General features: G+C 44.5%; 1 protein-coding gene across 12 annotated transcripts in view, besides 2 other annotated features; it reads left to right on the top strand.

Moving 5' to 3' along the window:
* SMG6 (SMG6 nonsense mediated mRNA decay factor) overlaps window positions 1–21560 on the top strand; it is a 243947-nt gene that overhangs the window by 177292 nt on the left and 45095 nt on the right. The gene's annotated exons all lie outside the window — the stretch shown is intronic.
* Window positions 2541–2590: an enhancer, noted in NCBI's record as "active region_11476". NCBI's record gives its function as "activates an Ori minimal core promoter by ATAC-STARR-seq in GM12878 lymphoblastoid cells {active_cell/tissue: GM12878}" and the evidence as "EXISTENCE:reporter gene assay evidence [ECO:0000049][PMID:35858748]".
* Window positions 3796–3855: an enhancer, noted in NCBI's record as "active region_11475". NCBI's record gives its function as "activates an Ori minimal core promoter by ATAC-STARR-seq in GM12878 lymphoblastoid cells {active_cell/tissue: GM12878}" and the evidence as "EXISTENCE:reporter gene assay evidence [ECO:0000049][PMID:35858748]".

The raw sequence follows: 21560 nt of genomic DNA, 5'->3' as shown, positions 1-21560 counted from the left end.
TCAGCCTCCCAAAGTGCTGGGATTACAAATATGAGGCACTGTGTCTGGTCTGCTTATTTTTTTCTTTTGTTTCCTATGCTTTTGATGTCATATCCAAGAAATCATTGCCAAATCCAGTGTCATAAAGATTTTCCCTTATGCTTTCTTCTAAGAGTTTTCTAGTTTTAGCTCTTTTTAGGTCTTTGATCCATTTTGAATTTGTTTTTGTATATGGTCTTAGGTAAGGGTTCAGCTTCATTCTTTTGCATGTGAATATCCAGGTTTTTTTAAGCTCTTTTTATTGAAAAGACTATTCCTTCCATAAGATTGGAATTGGTCTTGACACCCTTGTCAAAAGTCAGTTGACCCTGTATTTGTGAGAGTTTACTTCTAGGTTTTCTGTTCTATTCTATGCCAGTACCACACCGTTTTGATTAGTATAGTTTTGCAGTAAGTTTTGAAATCCAGAAGCATGAGCCCTTTAACTTTTGTTCTTTTTCACGATTAATTTGGCTGTATGGGGTCCCTTAAGATTCCATATGATTTTTTTTTTTTTTTTTTTGAGATGGGTTCTCACTCCATCTCCCAGGCTGGAGTGCAGTGGCACAATGTCAGCTCACTGCAACCTCTGCCTCTCAGGTTCAAGCGATTCTTGTGCCTCAGCCTCCCAAGTACCTGGGATTACAGGCATGCGCCACCACACCCAGCTGATTTTTGTATTTTTAGTATAGACGGTGTTTTGCCATGTTGACCAGGCTGGTCTCCAACTCCTGACCTCAAGCAATCTGCCCGCTTTGGCCTCCCAGAGTGCTGGGACTACTGGCATGAGCCATTGCATCCAGCTAGATTCCATATGAATTTTAAGATGTTTTTATGGATCTGTGGAAAATGCCATTGGGATTTTGATAGGAACTGCATTGAATCTGTAGATTGCTTTGGTTACTGTAGTCAGCTTAACAATATTAAGTCTTCCAATTCATGAACATAGAATGTTTTTCCATTTATTGGAACTCCGTTTTTAATTATATTCAATTTTAGGAAATTTAAATTTGTTTGGCCATATTGTAGCTAATCATCATCCTATTGGCCAGCAAGCCCAAGAGAATTATCCTCAGATTTTCTTTTCTTCCTAAATCGTAGGATCGTAGTGACGTCTTCAGAGGCCTTGTAGTATCTGAATCATCATTGGTCTCAGGATGTCTGGATTGTATGGAATGCATGGTTAGAAGGGTGAATAAATAGGGGGTTTCGGTCCCTCCAGGTTATCTCTGTCTCGGAGATATGAGAGGGCTACAAGTCTTGCCACATCAGACCCTGTCTCCTTCTCTATTTTCCCTTTGGAAATGTCTGTTTTTCTCCAGAGCCAAAGAGAACCTCTTGTTTTCCAAAAAATTAGCAAAAAGTAGACTCTGCTCTGGCAGGAATGGAACTCCTTCTGCCTCTTCCTATTTCCATAGAAGAAGAGACCATAGTGCCCCAAATGAGGTGTTTTTAAAAGAAATTCCTTCTCCAAATGGAGATGCTGATTATTTTATAGCAGCGTATGTACCTTGTTCATCATTCTGATGGGGTTCTCATGGGAACAGCAACAAAAAATGCCTTTCGGTGCCAATCATGGTTGTGCTCCCAATTGCATTTTCCTTGAGGGTCAGCAGTCTAAGAGATGCCTGCACGTTAGAAACAAAAAATAAAGAATAAACGCTGTAAATAATTAATTAAACCAGGAAACCCCCTTTCAGTGTCCATTCGTTTTTCTGCCATGTAAGAAGTAATGGTAGGATGCGGAAGACCTGTGTCCTTAGTACTGTTCCGTCTCCCTGCTGCCCCTTCCCCAGCTTCTCTCTAATGACTCCCCGGGGAGATCACAGGTCTCAGAGTAAACAGGAAACCTGACTAAGTAAAATAGGGAGTCTTAGAGCCTAGAGGGTAAGAGACACAGCTCTCCAGGAAGAAGATGCCTTTGGCCTTGGACAGCCAGGAGCAGTGGGTTTGTGGGGTTTTATATAAACACTCTGTTACGACTCTCTGCGGAGGAACCCTCCAATCCACTTTAGGCCAGAAATGGAACTTTGTTCCCTGGCCTGCCCATGACTACTCTACATCAGTCTCTCCTGAAAAGAGGCTAGAATATTACTTGTGTATTCAGAATTGGACTAACCCAGTAGTTAGCCAGTTCGCTAAAACTGATTTCTCTACCTTACTGCCCTGTGGCCTGTACCCCACCCTTATTGTCACCCCTTTCTTTGTACAGAGATAACTTCTTTACTGTAGCATTTGGGATTTCCCACACTACAGTTGATCTGTCACCGCACTACCAAAATGCCTCTGCCAACCACTTGGGTGTCCTGGTGTCAGAAGTTAGAAGTGCCCCAACTGTCCCACCCAGCCTGCTCAGCTCTCCTCTCTCTCTCCTGGGTTGTTGTTCTGGAATGATATTCCTCTTGGATTCAGTGTGTGCAGTCTGATTTGGGTGGAGCCTTGAGCTGTACACAGGAGTGCTGGTAATGTCTGGCCTTCAGTGCTGCCAAAGGCAAGAAGCTGGCCTCTCAGTGTAAAGCACATAGTTGGATTGCTGGGGCAGTGTTAAATGGAGGGTGGGGTGAGCAGATAGCACTCTCTTCCTGCTCTGTTTTCAGGAAGTGATTATAAAAGCAGCTCTAAGTTTGAATGAAATCAAAAGAATGAATTGTCACCTTCCCCCAACAAAAACCAGATGAGCACAAACATATACACAAACACACTCCTCCTCTGCACTCCATCCAAGATCCACACCCTGGCTCTGCCGGGCTTCACTTCGGTGCTATTTCAGAGCAAAGAGCCTTTGTTGTGCCATCTCCATTCTCTTCCCTGGGAGAGAGCTTAGTAGTCTTATGAATGAGAGCTCGACTTCCCTTTTGGCATACTGTGGGTTTCACTTCCCTGTCCTCTCTCCTTCCAAGAAGAGTGTGGGCAGAAGTGTATAGGTGGGAGGAATAACCATTGCCAAGATTTAATTCATCAGTTAGGGATTGGGGTTTCAGAACTGGTAATAAAATTGTTTGCAGTTAATTGTCAATGAAAGGAGTTTCTGTGCCGTTAACACACTTCCATTCCTTCCTTCCAGCTGCCTCTTTCCGTCGTACTGCCTTTTTCCTGGTACCTCCATGGGGTTTAAGCCATATGGCTCTTAGGAATATCGTTTGGAGTCTCCAGAAGTGGAAGATTTGGCTGTGCAGCACACAGCACCCCTGGGTCTACTCCTCCCCTCCCCTCTCAGCAGCTGTTTGCCACTGACCGAGGTGGCGACCAAGCCTATGTGTGTGGCCAGAGTCAGTGACAAGCCTCCCACCCAGGCCTGGGGAAGCCCTTAGCCAGCGCGGTTCCTGAGGCAGCCGCCAACACGCCAGGGTTTCCTCATACCTTCAGGGCTGCGGTGGAGCAGCCAGCGTTATGCGGCAGCATTGTCTAGCGTTGCTTCACTTGACTTCTCTGTCCCCACCCTCTGTGTTTAAGGGAATCTGGCCATCATCCAGCAGGGAAGAAGCTGGCATTTACAGAGAGTGGCTTTCTGCCACCCCTCATGTGGTAGGAGCCAGGACCACCTCCATCTCTGCTTCCTACCCATGTGGCAAAGAGGAAGGGGCCCCTCTGTGCTCAGTCTCCTGTTGTGGAGTTTCGAGTTGCCTAAGATGAGAATAAGGCTGTCTGCCAGGTTATCTGCCCAGATAAACATTTATTGTTTACAGGGACATGTTTCAGCTGCTCTGGCACCTCCCACTGGTGAGATCCTCTAGTATCTTGAGGTTTTAAGCCAGTATATGGGGCCGACGTCCAGACACAGAACTACTGGAGCTGGAGAGGCTAAGTGGCTCGCGGCTTCTAACTTAGCTTCGCCATTGCCCCCCGCCCCGCTTCCCACTGCCAGAGCTAGATTTACATCTCTTGTTCTTAGTTCTGCCTCCTGGATATTGAAGCTGCATCTACATTTTAAACCTTTCTAGCCTTTAGAATTTGGGGATTTATATGCGATCCAGTGTTAGGACACAGCAAGCTGAAGACTTCTTTTACATGGCAAAACCAGCCCTCTGACACTGTGTTTTCCTTAATAGCTAATGAGACAGCTGTTTAGTGACGGCAACAGGGATTGATGCAGATTTTCTTTTTTTAATCTGACTAGGTCCACTGCTTCCAGATATTGTCTTTTTATTTTTTTAGTGATGTGATTGATTTTCCAACATTTTATTATACAGCAAAGTTGAACATTCTCCAGTGAGCTCACTTATACCCAGTACCTACATGCTGTGATTCTCATTTTACTGTATTTGTCTTATCATGTTATCTGTTTATTTCTCTCTCTCCCTCTCTTCCCCCATCTATCCACCCATCCATCCATTTTTTCTTCTTTTAAATAATTTTTTTAATGCCTATAATCCTAGCACTTTGGGAGGCCAAGGCGGGCAGATTGCTTGCAGCCAGGAGTTCGAGACCATCCTGGCCAACATGGTGAAACCCCGTCTCTACTAAAAATACAAAAATGAGCTGGATGTGGTGACGGGCACCTATAATCCCAGCTATTCAGGAAGCTGAAGCATGAGAATTGCTTGAACCCAGGAGGGCAGAGGTTGCAATGAGCTGAGATTGCGCCATGCACTCCAGCCTGGGCGACAGAGTGAGACTATCTCAAAAGAAAAGAAAAGAAAAGACCAGCCTGGGCAACATGGCGAAACCCCATCTCCACAAAAAATACAAAAATTAGCCAAATGTAGTGGCTAGCACCTGTTGACCCAGCTACTCGGGAGAGCTGCTTTAGTAGCCCAGGAGGTCAAGGCTGTAGTGAGCCCAAAATCATGCTACTGTACTCCAGCCTGGGTGATACTCTCTCTCTCTCTACACACACACACACACACACACACACACACACACACACACACACACACACACACACACAGACAGACATGTACATATATACATATATGTGTGTGTGTGTATATATAAATAATCATATAATTATATTATAATCCCTTATCTCCACCTCTGTCCCCAGAGGCAAGCTCTGTTCTGATTTTTTCCACCAAGATTAGATTTGCCTATTTTAGAACCCCATATAAATGGAATCACACAATAAGTACATGCTCTTGAGAAAGGCTTTTTTCATTTAGCTTAATCTTTTTGAGATTCCTCTGTGTTGTTACATATATTAGTATATATTAGTAGCTCACTCCTTTTTATTGCTGAGTAGTATTCCATTTTATGAATATGTCACAGTTTATCTGGTTGACAGTGAATCTGTTTCTAGTTTTTAGCTGTTATGAATAAAGTTGCTGTGAATAGTTGTACACAAATCTGTTTTTGGACATGTGTTTTCACTTGAGTAAATGCCTAGGATTAGAATTGCTGAGTCAGAGATTAGATGTGCATTTTTTATTAGAGATCCCCTGGACCAAGCTTGTCCAACCCGTGGCCCACAGGCTGCACGCAGCCCAGGATGCTTTGAATGCAGCCCAACACAAATTCGTAAACTTTCTTAAAACATTATGAGCTTTTTTGCCCCCCGCTTTTTTTTAAGCTCATCATCTATAGTTGGTGCTATTATATTTTACGCGTGGCCCAAGGCATTTCTTCCATCGTGGCCCAGGATACCCCTGCCCTACAGCTTTTTCCAAAGATGATTTTGTTAGACTCCAACAATTATGACACTTCCCATTGCTTCACATCCTCTTTCTGGTAGGTGTGTGGTGACTGGTGATATATCATTTTTGGCTTTAATTTGTATCTCCCTGATGACTAATGAAGTTGTATGCTTTTTGTTTTTTCAGACAGGGTCTTGCTCTATCACCCAAGCCAAAGAGCAGTGGCACAATCACAGCTCACTGCAGACTTGACCTCCTGGGTTCGGGCAATCCTCCTGCCTCAGCCTCTCAAGTAGCTGAGACTACAGGTGTGTGCCACCACATTGGGCTCATTTTATTACAATTTTTTGTAGAGACAAGGTATTGCTATGTTGTCTATGCTGGTCTCCAGCTTCTGGGCTCAAGCAGTCCTCCTGCCTCACTCGTCCAAAGTGCTAGGCGTGAGCCCCCATGCCCAGCTGAAGTTGTATACTTTTTCATATGCTTACTGACTTTTTTGCCTATCTTCCTTATGAAGGATCTTTTCACATCTTCCTCCCATTTTCTTGAGTTATTTTCTTGTTGAGTTCCTTATGTATTCTGGATGTAAGTAATTTGTCAGATACATGTTTTGTGAATATTTTCACAAAGCCTGTGTCTTACCTATTCATTTTCTTAATATCTTTTGATAAGCAAAAGGTTTTAATTTTCATGAAATCAATTTATCCTGCTTTTCTTTTATGGTTATTACTTTATGAGGGCTAAAAATCCCAAGTGATGAGGATCTTCTACTCGGTTCTCCTCTAAGCGCTGTATGGAGGCCGGGCGCGGTGGCTCACGCGTGGAATCCCAGCACTTTGGGAGGCCGAGGTGGGTGGATCGCTTGAGGCCAGGAGTTCAAGACCAGCCTTACCAACACGGTGAAACCGTTTCTCTACTAAAAATATAAGACGTTAGCTGGACATGGCCGGGTGCAGTGGCTCATGCCTGTAATATCAGCACTTTGGGAGGCCGAGGCGGGTGGATCGCGAGGTCAGGAGATCGAGACCATGCCGGCTAACACAGTGAAACCTGGTCTCTACTAAAAATACAAAAAAATTAGCCAGGCATGGCAGCGGGCGTCTGTAGCCCAATCTACTTGGGAGGCTGAGGCAGGAGAATGGCATGAACCCGGGAGGCGGAGCTTGCAGTGAGCCGAGATCACGCCACTGCACTCCAGCCTGGGCAACAGAGCAAGACTCCGTCTCAAAAAAAAATAAATTAGCTGGGCATGGTGGTACATGCCTGTAATCCCAACTACTCAGGAGGCTGAGGCACAAGAATCGCTTGAACCCAGGAGGCAGAGGTTGCAGTGAGCCGAGATCGTGCCACTGTACTCTGGCCTGGGCAACAGAGCAAGACTCCGTCTCAAATAATAATAATAAATAATTCTGGGCTGGGTGCGGTGACTAATGCCTATAATCCCAGCACTATGGAAGGCTGAGGCAGGCGGATCACTTGAGGTCAAGAGTTCGAGACCAGCCTGGCCAATATGGTAAAACCCTGTCTCTATTAAAAATACAAAAATTATGGCCGGGCGCAGTGGCTCATGCTTGTAATCCCAGCACTTTGGGAGGCCGAGGCGGGCAGATCACAAGGTCAGGAGATTGAGACCGTCCTGGCTAACACAGTGAAACCCCATCTCTACTAGAAATACAAAAAATTAGCCGGGCGTGGTGGCACATGCCTATAATCCCAGCTATTTGGGAGGCTGAGTCAGGAGAATTGCTTGAACCCGGGAGACGGAGGTTGCAGTAAGCCAAGATCGTGCCACTGCACTCCAGCCTGGGCGACAGAGCAAGACTTCGTCTCAAAAAAAAAAAAAAAAATTAGCCAGGTGGGTGCCTGTAATCCCAGCTACTCAGCAGACTGAGGCAGGAGAATTGCTTGAACCGGGAGACGGAGGTTGCAGTGAGTCGAGGTCACACCTCTGCACTCCATCCAGCCTGGGCAACAGAACGAGATTCTATGTCAAAAAAAAAAAAAAAAAGCTACATTGAGCCAGGCACAGTGGCCCATGCCTATAATCTCAACACTTTATCAGTCTAAGGCAGGAGAATCCCTTCAGTCCAGGAATTCGAGACCAGCTTGGACAACATAGTGAGACCCCCATGACTACAAAAAAATTAAAAAATCAGCCAGACATGGTGGCCTACACCTGTGGTCCCAGCTACTTGCAGCCGTGCACGGCAAGGCTGCAGTGTGCCATGTTTGCACCACTGCACTTCAGCCTGGGCAACAGAGCAAGACCGTTGCTCAAAATTTAAAAAGACAAAAAAAAAAAAAAAAGCTATCTAGATTTAGCTTTTATATTTAGGTCTATGAGACATTGGAAATAAATTTTTTTTTGAGACAGAGTCTCACTCTTACACCCAGGCTGGAGTGCAGTGGCACGATCTTGGCTCACTGCTACCTCTACTCCCCAGGTTCAAGTGATTCTCGTGCCTCAGCCTCCTGAGTAACTGGGACTACAGGTGCACACCACTATGCTTGGCTAATTTTTGTATTTTTAGTAGAGACGGGGTTTCATCATGTTGGCCAGGCTGGTCTCTTAACTCCTGACCTCAAGTGATCTGCCTGCCTCAGCCTCCCAAAGTGCTGGGATTACAGGCATGAGCCACTGCGCCCATTCCTGTTGTTTTGTTTTTTGAGACGGTCTTGCTCTGTCACCTAGGCTAGAATGCAGTGGCAGGGATGACTCACTGCAGCCTCAACCTCCCAGGCTCAAGTGATCCTCCCACCTCAACCTCCCAAGAAGCTGGAACTATAAGCAAGCACCACCACACCTGGCTAATTTTTTAATTTTTTATAGAAATGGGGTCTCACTATGTTTCCCAGGCTGCTCTTGAACTCCTGAACTCAAGTGATCCCCCTGCCTTGGCCTCCCAAAGTGCTGGAATTACAGACATGAGCCAGTGTGCCTGGTCTTCAAATTAATTTTGTATATGGTGTAATATAAGAACTAAAACTTTTTTCCCCCCATATGGATATCAAGTTATATCAGCACTATTTATTGAAAAGGCATTTCTTGCCTCTGCTGGATTGCTTTGGTACTTTTTTTCAAATATCAGATGAGCATATAAGCAGGGGTGTCATGCTTTCTGTTCTTTTTGTTCGTTTTATTTAAAAATTCTTACGACAAACGCTAGAATCCTTATGGGAGTAAGTTTAATTTACGTATCAGTTTTGAGAAAATTGACATCTTAACAACATTTTTCTAGTTTATGAACATAGTATAGCTAGCCTTTTACCTAGGTCTTTTATACTTTTCACTGTACAGGTCTTATACATTGTCTGTTAAGTTTATTCCTAAATACATTTTATTTTTTATGCCATTATAAATGGAATTGTTTCTAAATTGTATTTACCAGTCTTTTGCTGCTAGAATATGAAAATACAATTGACTTTTGTATATTGATGTATCCTTCAATCCTAAAGACATTTTTATTAGAATTTAATCTAGTAGTTATTTGCGCATTATTTGGGATTTTTTGTGTTAAACAATCATGTCATCTGCAAACAGAGGCAGTTCTTTTCCATTTTTATGCTTTCAGCGTTTTTTTTCTTGCCTTAATACAGTGTCTGAGATCTCCACTAGTGAGTTGAAAGGAAATGGTGAGAGCAGGCATCCTTGCTAGGACCACGTATATCTGTGGTCCCAGCTACTTGGGAGGCTGAGGTGAAAGGATCACTTGAGCCCAGGAGGTCAAGGCTGCAGTGAGCCATGTTCACGCTACTGCACTACACACTGGGCGACAGAGAGAGACCCTGTCTCAAAAAAAAAAAAAAATTTAAAAGCCATACTGGTGACTGTCTAGAAGTATTTCATTGTGATTTTTGTTTTGTTTTGCTTTCTTTTTTTGTTGTTGTTCTCATTGTGATTTTAATTTGCATTTCCCTGATGAGTAATGATATTGAGTGCCTTTTCTTCTGCTATTGGCCATTTGAATACCCTCTTCTGGGGAGTGCCTGTTCCTGATTTTTACCCATGTTTTTCTTGGATTCTTTGTCTTTTTTCTTACTGATTTATAGGGTGTTTTTTTTTTCCAGTATTCTGAATATAAGTCCTATGTTGGATAGAAGTATTGAAAATATCTTCTCGCAGTCTGTGGTTCATCTTTTCAGGGTTTTTATTTTTTTGAGGCAGAGTCTCGCTCTGCCGCCCAGGCTGGAGTGCAGTGGCGCAATCTCAGCTCACTGCAACCTCTACCTCCTGGGTTCAAGTGATTCTCCTGCCTCAGCCTCCTGAGTAACTGGGATTACACATGTACCCGCCACCACACCCAGCTAATTTTTGTATTTTTAGTAGAGACGGGGTTTCACCATGTTGGCCAGGCTGGTCTCAAACTCCTGACCTCAAGGAACTCCTGACCTCAAACTCCTGACCCCACCCACCTCAGCCTCCCAAAGTGCTGGGATTACAGGCGTGAGCCACCATGCCCAGCCATCTTTTCAGTATTAATGGTATCTTTTTATGAACACAAATCTTAGTTAAAATAATTTTTTCTTGGTCAGGTACAGTGGCTCATGCCTGTAATCTCAACACTTTGGAAGGCCGAGGCGGGAGGATCCCTTGAGGCCAGGAGTTCAGTACCAGCCTGGGCAACATAGCAAGACCCTGCCTGTACAAAAAAAATAAAAAATAAAAAATAGCTGGGCAGGGTGGCTCATACCCATATGTACCAACTACTCAAGAGGCTGAAGTGGGAAGACTGCTTGGGCCGAGGCAGTTGAGGGTGCAGTGAGCCAAGATCATGCCACTGCACTCTAGCCTGGGCAACACAGCGAGATCCTGTCTCAAAAATAAATAAATGAAATAATAAATAGATATATTTTTATTAAAAGTTAGTGAGTGCTTTTTGTGTCTTATTTAAGAAATGTGGCCAGGCACAGTGACTCACACCTGTAATTCTTGCACTTTGGGGGGCCAGGGTGGGAGGACTGCTTCCATCCATGAGTTCAAGACCAACCTGGCCAATATAGCAAGACCCTGTCTCTAAAATTAAATAAATAATTACCCTGGCATGGTGGTACACGCTTAGCTACTGAAGCAGGAGGATTGCTTGGACCCGGGAGTTCGAGGCTACAGTAAACTATGATCATGCCACTGTACTCCAGCCTAGGGGACAGAGCAAAAACCTGACTTCCCACCTCCCCCGCAAAAAAGAGAAATGTTTGCCTATTCCAAGTGCAACATATTGGAAGGAAGATATTCTTCTGTATTTTGATCTTGAAACTATATTATTTTACCATTCACACTTGGGTCTGTGGTTCATTTTATTGAAAGATCAGTTTTCCCCACTGAACTGCAATGATGCCATGTCATAAGTCAGATGATTATATATGTTTGGGTCTATTTCTATACTGTATCTTCTTCCCCAAAGGTCTATTTATCTCTGCTTGTGCCATTACTATTAAATTTTTAAATATTAGTTTGAAAGTTTCCGAAGTTTGTGCCTGTTTTCACATTGACTCTTCTAGAAAGAGGTTTACCAATTCCTTAGATTGGTATCCTGTTGAACTGCAATACTTTTTTATATGTTAGGTGATTTTTTTTTCATCCTTACTAGGGCCAGTCTATACTTGTTCATATTGAGAGTTTAGATGGGCCTCTTAAGATTTTCAGGTGCAGACAAAGGGAAAAGAGGAACATTTGATTTATACTGCCAGTGTTAAACACTCTGTTTGCTAGAGTAGACTAGGTTTCTCAACCTAATGTTATTCTGGGTTTTTTGCCTTTATTAGAACCCATCCTCCTCAGCTGTGTCTTCCTTCTGCCTCATCTGGCCACCCACACCAGCTATCAGTTAGCAGCCACAAATACCTGCTGTGTTTCCCATCAACCCTGGTAGGATCCAGTTGTGCCCTTCTTTTTTTTTAATTATTTTATTTTATTTTATTTTATTTTATTTTATTTCATTTCATTTCATTTTTTTATTTTATTTTATTTTATTTTATTTTATTTTATTTTATTTTATTTTTGCCCAGGCTGGAGTGCAGTGGCACGATTTCGACTCCACAACCTCCGCCTCCTGGATTGAAGAGATTCTTGTGCCTCAGCCTCCTGAGTAGCTGGGATTACAGGCGCCTGCCACCACGCCCAACTGATTTTTGTATTTTTAGTAGAGATGGGGTTTCACCATGTTGGCCAGGATGGTCTCAAACTCCTGAGCTCAGGTGATCCACCCGCCTTGGCCCCCCAAAGTGCTGGGATTACAGGTGTGAGCCACCGCGCCTGGCCCCTGTGCCCTTCCAACTGCATCACAACCCACCTTGGTTCTTGTCTTAGTTGCCCCAAGATAAGGGTATTAATGTGGTACTGCCGCTAAGGTCTCATCTGTATTCTTACTCAGCCTGAAAAGGGTTGAACATCAGTTGTCCTTTTTCTCACTCCAGTTCCACCCACTGTTAGACTTGCAGACAGTTTCCCAAAGTTTCTGGTATGGGGTTGCCTAGTACTGATGGATGCTTTCTTCATTTTTATTTATTTATTTATTTTTAGTCATTTCAATGGGAAACTGGAAGGATAGAAGAGAAGCATATGCTTAATGTCATTCTGATTAAACAAATCAATGTTAGTTTTGTTTTCATTTTGGGGAGTATTTTTTGTTTTGTTTTGGGATGGAGTCCCACTCTGTCACCCAGGCTGGAGTGCAATGGCGCAATCTAGGCTCACTGCAACCTCTGCCTCCTGGGTTCAAGCTATCCTCCTGCCTCAGCCTCCCAAGTAGCTGGGATTACAGGCATGCGCCACCGTGCCCAGCTAATTTTTGTATTTTTTTAGTAGAGACGGGGTTTCGCCATGTTGGCCAGGCTGGTCTTGAACTCCTGACCTCAGGTGATCCGCCTGCCTCGGCCTCCCAAACTGCTGAGATTACAGGCGTGAGCCACCGTGCCTGGCCTCAATGCTAGTTTTTAAGAAATGAGTTTCTAGCCTTCCAGATTGAAATACTTGGAAGGTCATTGTTCATTTGATAAAGGTAGGCATTGGACTTAGATTGTGCTTTCATGGGTTTATATGCATGGGTTTGTTACTTCATAACTAGTTCCACCACTCTCGTGTGACACTCAGGAGGAGATAATTTAGTGATTTCATGAAGATGCTCCTTAAGTCTTTCTGTGTTGGGTCTCAACCCTGTAGGCTGGATATTAATAGGGACCATACCCCAAAGGTCCAGGAAAGGAAAGGTGAAAATAATAAGATCTCCAGAATGGAGTAGGAGTGATGGTTTTGAGGCCATGGGTTTTAGATGATCTAGCTGTTTGCTTTCATTTGATAAGAATGCCATATAGCTCACTTGGCAGCTGTGTAAGAGAAAGCAGTCCTGATAACCCAGAGACCCATTTAAGAATTGTGTGCTCTCGTGGAGCCAGCACCCTTTCCCAAGCCGGCTTTGTTCAAGACCCAGCTGGAGAGCAGGGATGTGTGCTGTATTCTTTGTAACCCTAGTGCATGTTATAATGTTCAGGAATTGGTAAGCAAATGAGTATTCATTTAGAAATTGGGCCTTAGGCCCAGCATAGTGGCTCATGCCTGTTACCCAAGCACGCTGTGAGGCCGAGGCGGGTGGATCACTTGAGCCCAGGAGTTCGAGTCCAATCTGGGCAAATAGGCCCTATCTCTACAAAAAATAAAAAAAAAAATTGGCCAGGCATGGTGGCACACGCCTGCAATGCTAGCTGTTCACTAATCAGGAGGCTGAAGTCGCGGGGAGGATCACTGGAGCCTGGGAGGCTGGGAGATGGAGGCTGCAGTAAGCCTTGATCATGCCACTGCACTCCAGCCTGGGTGACAGAGCAAGACTCTGTCTCTTAAAAAAGAAAATAAAAGGCTGGGAACAGTGGCTCACACCTGTAATCCCAGCACTTTGGGAAGCTGAGGCCAGTAGATCACTTGAGCTCAGGAGGTCAAGACCAGCCTGGTTAACATGGTGAAACCCCATCTCTACCAAAAATACAAAAATTAGTCAGGCATGGTGACGCATGTCTGTGGTCCCAGCTACTCAGGAGGCTGAGGCAGGGGGATTGCTTGAGCCTGGGAGGCAGAGGTTGCAGTGAGCTGTGATTGCGCCACTGCACTCTAGCCTGGGTGGCGGAGTGAGAGTCTGTCTCAAAAAAAAAAAAAAAAAAAAGTTTGGAGCTCATTACACCTGGCTTTTATTGTTTGCTGTTTTGCTTTTTAATATAGCTAAAGTATGCAGATTTATTTAGCTTTAAGTTTTGTTCTCAATTCCCTAGTGGAAAAAAAAAAGCACCAAAAAAATTCAATTTTTACATTTCAATTCAAATGCAAGAACTTGGAACAGACCATTGCCTTTTATTTATTTATTTATTTATTTATTTATTTATTTATTTATTTATTTTTTATTTTATTTTTTTTGAGACAGAGTCTTGCTCAGTCACCCAGGCTGGAGTGCAGTGGCACGATCTCGGCTCACTGCAACCTCCGCCTCCCGGGTTCATGCCATTCTCCTGCCTCAGCCTCCCGAGTAGCTGGGACTCCAGACGCCCGCCACGACGCCTGGCTAATTTTTTTTTTGTATTTTTAGTAGAGACGGGGTTTCACCATGTTAGCCATGATGGTCTCGATCTCCTGACCTCGTGATCCACCCGCCTCAGCCTCCCAAAGTGCTGGGATTACAGGCGTGAGCCACCGCGCCCGGCCGACTTTTTTTTTTTTAAGAGGGAAGCGGTAATAGGAAATTTAATCAGGAAGATTTCTAAGCTTCAATTGTAAAGATACCTCCTTTTCCCAAGAGTTAGGCCTAATGAAGACTATACCTACCAGTACGGAGGGGGAGGGGATAAATCACAACTAAAGACCTTGGCACTTCTGTAAGAAATTTAAATAACAGGCAGACATATAGAGATTTGTAAATATGTACTTGCTGCCAGATAAACCACAGGGAAGATACTGTATTTGTGGTCCAGGGAAGTTTAAATATTTGTGGTCAAACTTAAAATTCAACGTAAAACTCTCATCTGTGATGGAAACTTTCCAGAAACTGCATGGAGCGGGTGTGCAAGCTGCATAAACTCTCAAAGGCCTCTCCTCTCACCAGGCTGAGCTGGAAAAGCCTGTTCTCCTTCCTTCAAACTGTGTAGCTAACAAGCCCTTCGATCAGAGAAGGAACTCCTTGATGCTCCAGCCACCACCCAAGAAACCCGCTCTAAGGACCTTTCGGGCCAGGCACAGTAGCTCATGCCTGTAATCCCAGCACTTTAAGAGGCCAAGGCCGGAGGATCCCTTGAACCTAGGAGTTCAAGGCCAGTCTGGGCAATATAGGGAGACCCCGTTTCTATAAAAAATTAGCCAGGCGTGGTGGCAGGCGCCTGTGGTCCCAGCTACTTGGGAGGCTGAGGTAGAAGGATCGCTTGAGCCCAGGAGGTCGAGGCTGCAGTGAGCTATGATCACACCACTGTACTGCAGCCTGGGCAACAGCGAGATCCTGTGATCTCAGAGGACCTCTTTGAGCGAGATAAGAAAGGACCTCTCTTTTTTGTGGCTTGCACCTTCAAGTCTGATCAAATATTACCTTTCTTAGGGTCTTCTATTCACCATCTTATATAAAATAGCAATACTCTTCCCCACCCTGCCGCTCTCTGTCTCCCTTACCCAACTTTTTTTCACAGTACTTCCCACTACTGTCTGCTTATTTGATTCTCAGTCTCAGAAAAATGTTTTAAGTTCCATGGGAACAGGAGCATTGTTTTATTCACTGCTGTATTCCTGGTGGTTTGAATAGGGCCTGCCACACCATAGCATGTGCTTAATAAATATTTATTGAATTTCAGTAGAATACATTTAGAACTCAGACTGTGAGATCAGCCTGAAACACCTCAGATATCTTACTTTGTGTTCTGTGAGGCTCTACGAGCTCCTCTGATAAGGAAACTGGCACTGAAGGTGGGCGTAGCGGCCTTCAGATGTACCAGGCAGCTCTTGCCGTAACACCTATAGCCTACACATCGAAATGGAATTGGAGCCGCTTAATTTTCACAGTAAATACATATATAGCACTCTTTGTTTCTGGCCTTCAAATTTGTTGATGACCCTCCTGATATTGATTCCTCTGGGGTGGGAGCTCTTTCTGGGCAGCGTGCAGACTGGAGCACATGTATATACTTTGCACATTATTTTGCCCAACTTTTTGTCATTTGAGACCCTGCTTGGCTGGGGAGACTGTTGTTGCTGACCTCTCCCAGGCCTGTTGGACTTGATGATGACTGATGGACTTGAGCACCTCATCAGGGTCTTTCTTCCGTCTGCTTTCCTTTGCTGCTTCCGCCAGATCTTTCCATCAGTCCCCCCAACACAGAGTGCTTTATTGTTGATGATCCTTAGTATTTGGCATGAAATGTGCTTCACAAATGATGTTGATTATCTTTAAAATACCGTGTGTGTGCGTGTGCGTGTGTCATAGTATATCACCACTTACATAAATGTATCTATAAAAGGCATAGAGAGAGCTCGTAGTTAATCACATATGTCAGTAAATGCAGAACTATCTCTGAAGAACATACCAGAAACTCGCAACAGGGCCTAAAAATCAAAGGTGGGAAGGTTTTGTTTTTAAAATTCGGCCTTTGTATTGCTTTTTTTCACCATGTGCCATGTTTCTGAACTCCACGTTACTAAGCAGCTTTGGCTTCAGTTTGGCCTGGTACTTGATTCTGAGATGCCACCATATCTCATTGAACTCCTTTGGTACTTTGTCAGCAGCAAGAGTGACTTTAGCTTAAGTAACAGAATTAAGTGACAGCTTTTAGTTCTGTGTTGTCTTTTTTTTTTTTTTTTTTTTTTTTGAGATGGAATCTCACTCTGTCGCCCATACTGGAATGCAGTAGTGCAATCTCTGCTCACTGCAACCTCTGCCTCCGGGTTCAAGCAATTCTCATGCCTCAGCCTCCCAAGTAGTTGGGACTGCAGACGTGCACCACCACGCCTGGCTAATTTTTGTATTTTTAGTAGAAACAGAGTTTTGCCATGTTGGTCTTGAACTCCTGAGCTCAGGTGATCCACCCACCTTGGCCTCCCAAAGTGCTGCGACTACAGGTGTGAGCCACTGCGTCTGCCCTTGTGTTGTCAATTTTTTTAAAGTTTAGGGTGTATATAGGTTTCTCTAGTATAGGCTGGTCCAGAAATTTTGTCTCTGTTTTGTCAGTATAAAGCACTGAAACTATACTTCAAAGTAGTTTATAATGGTTTGCGTGTCTATATGTGTTCTTCAAAAGTAGAGTAAGCAGCACGTAGTTATTGGATTCCTGTCTCTAATCCTATTCTTAATCTACTGCCTTGAAAATATTTAATAAAGAATGAGAAAGGCCATGCACGGTGGCTCACACCTGTAATCCCAGCACTTTGAGAGGCTGAGGCAGGCGGATCACTTGAGGCCAGCAATTCAAGACCAGGCTGGCCAACATGGCGAAACCCTGTCTCTACTAAAAATACAAAAATTAACCAGGCGTGGTGGCACGCGCCTATAATCACAGCTACTTACGAGGCTGAGGCACGAGAATCACTTGAACCCAGGAGGTGGAGGTTGGAGTGAGCCAAGATTGTGCCACCGCACTCCAGCCTGGGTGACAAAGCAAGTCTCCATCTCAAAAAAAAAAAGAGAGACATATATTCTAACAGCAGCTTTTTGGTCTCTTTTTCAAATCCTGTGAGAATATACTACATAGACTTGGTAATCAGGAATGGATCAGATGAGATACTGTCAACTCTAATGCTATTTTGCCAGGACAACCTGCAGAAAAATACATCTTCCTGTTCTAGATAGATGTCATAGCCTTTATTATGCTCTGTGCTAGTCATGAGAAAACGCCAGATAATTAATGTATTGTCTCTGGGGTTGAGTTTACTCTCTGAAAAATGGGGATGACATTAGTTATTTCATAAGATTTTAGTAAGGATTAAATGAGATAAAATAAGTGAAAATGCCTAGGTTTTTTTGCTCTGTCGCCCAGGCTGGAGTGCAGTGGTGTAATCCTCAACTCACTGCAACCTCCAACTCCTGGATTCAAGTGATTCTACCACCTCAGCCTCCCGAGTAGCTGCGATTACAGGCGCCCGCCACCATGCGCGACTAATTTTTTTATATTTTTAGCAGAGACGGGTCTTCGCTGTATTGGCCAGGCTGTTCTCAAACTCCTAACCCTCAGGTGATCCACCCACCTTGGCCTCCCAAAGTTCTGGAATTAAAGGGATGAGCCACCACACCTGGCTCAGAATTTTTTTATTATTATTATTATCTGAGACAGAGTCTCGCTTTGTGGCCCAGGCTGGAGTGCAGTGACACAATCTCGGCTCACTACAACCTCTGCCTCCCAGATTCAAGCAATTCTTCTGCCTCAGCCTCCTGGGTAGCTGGGACTGCAGGTGTGCACCTGCAGGTTTGCAGGCGTGGGCCTGGTTAATTTTTGTATTTTTAGTAGAGACAGGGTTTCACTATGTTGGCCAGGCTGGTCTCGAACACCTGACCTCAAGTTACCCGCCCGCCTCGGCCTTTCAAAGGCCTGGGATTACAGGCGTGAGTCACTGCGCCTGGCAAGATTTTTAAAAATGAAAGTTTCAATATGTGTTTTCATAGTGGACGCTGGGGATTGGAGAGTGGCTAAGAAGACTCCAAAGAGGTCCAGTTACAACTCAGTCACACATCAGATTCCCATGTCTCCTTCTGGATCATCCTGTAGTTTCTATAGCTGTTTTCTGTAATTCATGCAAATTCTCTGTAATCCTTCATTTCCGTTTTCTACCCACTTAGCTGTTGCCATTATTTTGAGGCATTGGATGTAAAAAACAAAACAAAACAAAAAAAAACCTGTTAGATTTATCTTGTAGGCTAAGGCTCAGAAATTGGGCAAGGTTCAGGTAGCTTTTCAGAAGGCGAGGCAGGTGTGCTTAGTTACACTATTCCAAGATTCTCCCAGAAATAGAACTCTAAAGTGAGGACTTGGGTGCCCTTGAAGGAGAACAACAAAATACCATTTTGGAAATAAAATTCTGCTGTCCTGGGTGTTCCAGCCCCTCCCATGCTGGCCTCCTTTCGGCACCATTCCTTTCTGCAGTCCCACCCCGCTTGGCCCTGGCACGCAGTCCCATGAACATGCCACCTGCCTTCTCTCTCTCTCTGGCCCCATCCATTGGCTGTTCAGTTTATTTTTTCCACATCCTCACCCTCTTCCAGCTCCAAGTTAAATAACCCTCACAGATGGCTTGTTCCATCAGAGCTGTTTAAGAACACAGAGCAGTGAACTAGTGCCCAGAGGAGCTGCCCCAGCCCAAGACTGCCCTTCCTATGGAGGCTCAAGACAACTGTGTCATCAGCTACCTAGAGGCCCAGAGACAGTGAGCAGAAAGGCTGGCAGGTTGGGTGGTAGAATGTCTGTTTAACACTATAATCCTCTAGCAGCTAACAACTAGTTCTCACTTAGATTTACAAGTCAGAACCAGGAGCCAGATACACTGCATACTCCATTTTCCATAGAAGACATAGTACTTCGTAGCTGGCATTTCTCCCCCACTTTTTTACAGCATGGAAACCCAACAGGAAATGACAGTCCCCATTTGTGTTTGGGATCATGGTTTCAGTCCTTAGTGAACCTCTTCATGAACTCCCGAGAGGTCTAGATCCCTGCCCTGCCTGACCCAAAGGGCAGGATTTCCAGCTGTCAGCACACCCATGGGAAGACAGGGAACTTCACATGCCTATTAGGAATCCTGCATAGAGTCTGGGCACAGTGGCTCACACCTATAATCCCAGCACTTTGGGAGGCCAAGGTGGGCAGATCACCTGAGGTCAGGAGTTCAAGACTAGCATGACCAACATGTCAGGCTAAAATACTAAACTACTAAGTACTGAAATACTAAACGTCTCTACTAAAAATACAAAACTCAGCCAGGCGTGGTGGCACATGCCTGTAATCCCAGCTACTTGGGAGACTGAGGCAGGAGAATTGCTAGAACCCGGGAGGCGGAGGTTGCAGTGAGCCGAGATCGCACAATTGCATTCCAGCCTGGGCGACAAACCGAGACTCTGTCTCAAAAAAAAAAAAAAAATTCCTGCCTAGAGAGAAGATCCCAGAATTTCTTTCACTCTTTCTTTCCTGTCAGCAGGGACACGGAGGTTTCCTGTCTGCCTTGTCATCAGCTTTGAAACATTTTCCTCCTGCATTCCCCCATATATGTAGTGGCCTGTAAGCTTTGCCCCCTTCATGTTCCCAGCATCCTCCTTCCCTCTCTCATAATCGGCTGGGTCTGGTTAATTTTGCCCTTGTGACAGGACAGCCTTTCCCTTGTCCTCGGAGTTATTCCTGTGGGACATAAGACCTCTCTGGTCATGGTCTCCCTCTCTTTCCCTTCCTTCTTGCCCTTTCCTCTCTAACTATAGCCTTTGTAAATAGACTCCTCTGAGGTCACCGAGGAATGGTAGTATGTGCCTTTGCTGCTATAGGACTCTCTTTTCCCCCAGTAAGCAGAGTTCCCTTGAGAGACCCCCCTCCCTTCCTTTATTAAAAGGCACGTTGGTGGCTTATCTGCTTGAACTCTGGCATAACAGGGCATGGAACAATGGCATGTGCAGAGTGCTTTGGCCAAAGGGAAATTAACTTTGAGCCAGAGACAGCAGTTTGAAGAAACTTCCCTTAGTAAGAAAAGAGACAAGAAGAAAAGTGATGGGGTGGAAAGGGAAAATTCTATGGCAGAGAAGGTCTCCCTGAGAACTCAATCAGAAATCAGTATCTCCTCCTTAAGCCTGGTTTTTCCACTGAGAAGTAAACTATTATTCTCTCTTCTCCTCCTTCATACCTTCTCCAAGATCAAGCGTTGCCAGATAAGTAACACACCCTGTTGCTTGCAAAGTAAAAGTTACTTGGATTGACAGATTTGTGGAGCCTTTGGGTGCCAAGTATCAGGAGGGAGCTTTGATTTCCATTTTCCTGTCTTCATGATGGACTTTACTCTTTACATTCAGTAGAAAAGTTCAAGGCTGTGGTGCAGACAACTTTCAGAGGTTACCCACATATAGGTCTTAAAACTTAACATCTGGCAGTTACTAGTTTCCTATATTCATTCAGCTCATCAAGTATTCAGCTGAGGTTTTGCCCATATTATGTCCAGTGAAATGAAATGAATCTAAGTGATAGAACTCTTTTTAGGGCAGGTATCCTGAGAAATTTTAAATTTCAGTATTTCTTTTCTTGCCTGTAGCTTAGCCAAGCACCCATTCAATTTGTGTTCCTCTAAAGGCAAATTCGTCAGAACTGTTTCTTCTGTCCTGAGGGCCTTTAGGCTACTGCTGAGTCTGGGCAAGTGTTATTTATTTATTTATTTATTTATTTTTGAGACAGAGTTTTGCTCTTGTTGCTCAGGCTGGAGTGCAGTGGCGCGGTCTTGGCTCACTGCACTCTCCGCCTCCCAAGTTCAAGCAATTCTGCCTTAGCCTCCCAGGTAGCTGGGATTACAGGCACCTGCCACCACGCCCGGCTAATTTTTGTATTTTTAGTAGAGATTGGGTTTCACCATGTTGGCCAGGCTGGTCTCAAACTCCTGACCTCAGGTGATCCACCCACCTTGGCCTCCCAAAGTGCTGGGATTACAGGTGTGAGCCACCACGCCCGGCTGAGTGTAATATTTTTTAAGTGAGAAAGACTTGAAGTAGGCTGAGTGCAGTGGCTCACGCCTGTAATCCCAGCACTTTGGGAGGTCGAGGCGGGAGGATTGCTTGAGTCCAGGAGTTTGAGAGCAGCCTGGGTAACATGGTGAGACCCCATCTCTACAAAAAAAAAAAAAAAAAAAAAAAATTAGCTGGGTGTGGTGGTGCATACCTGTAGTCCTAGATGTTCAGGAGGCTGAAGTGGGAGGATCACTTGAACCTGGGAGGTTGAGGCTGCAGTGAGCCAAGATCACACCATTGCACTCAGCCTGGGCAACAGAGTGTGACCTTGTCTCCC

Source organism: Homo sapiens, chromosome 17, assembly GCF_000001405.40.
Source record: "Homo sapiens chromosome 17, GRCh38.p14 Primary Assembly".
In the NCBI taxonomy this organism is placed as follows: Eukaryota; Metazoa; Chordata; class Mammalia; order Primates; family Hominidae; genus Homo; species Homo sapiens.
This window is presented reverse-complemented; position numbering and strand designations above follow the sequence as displayed.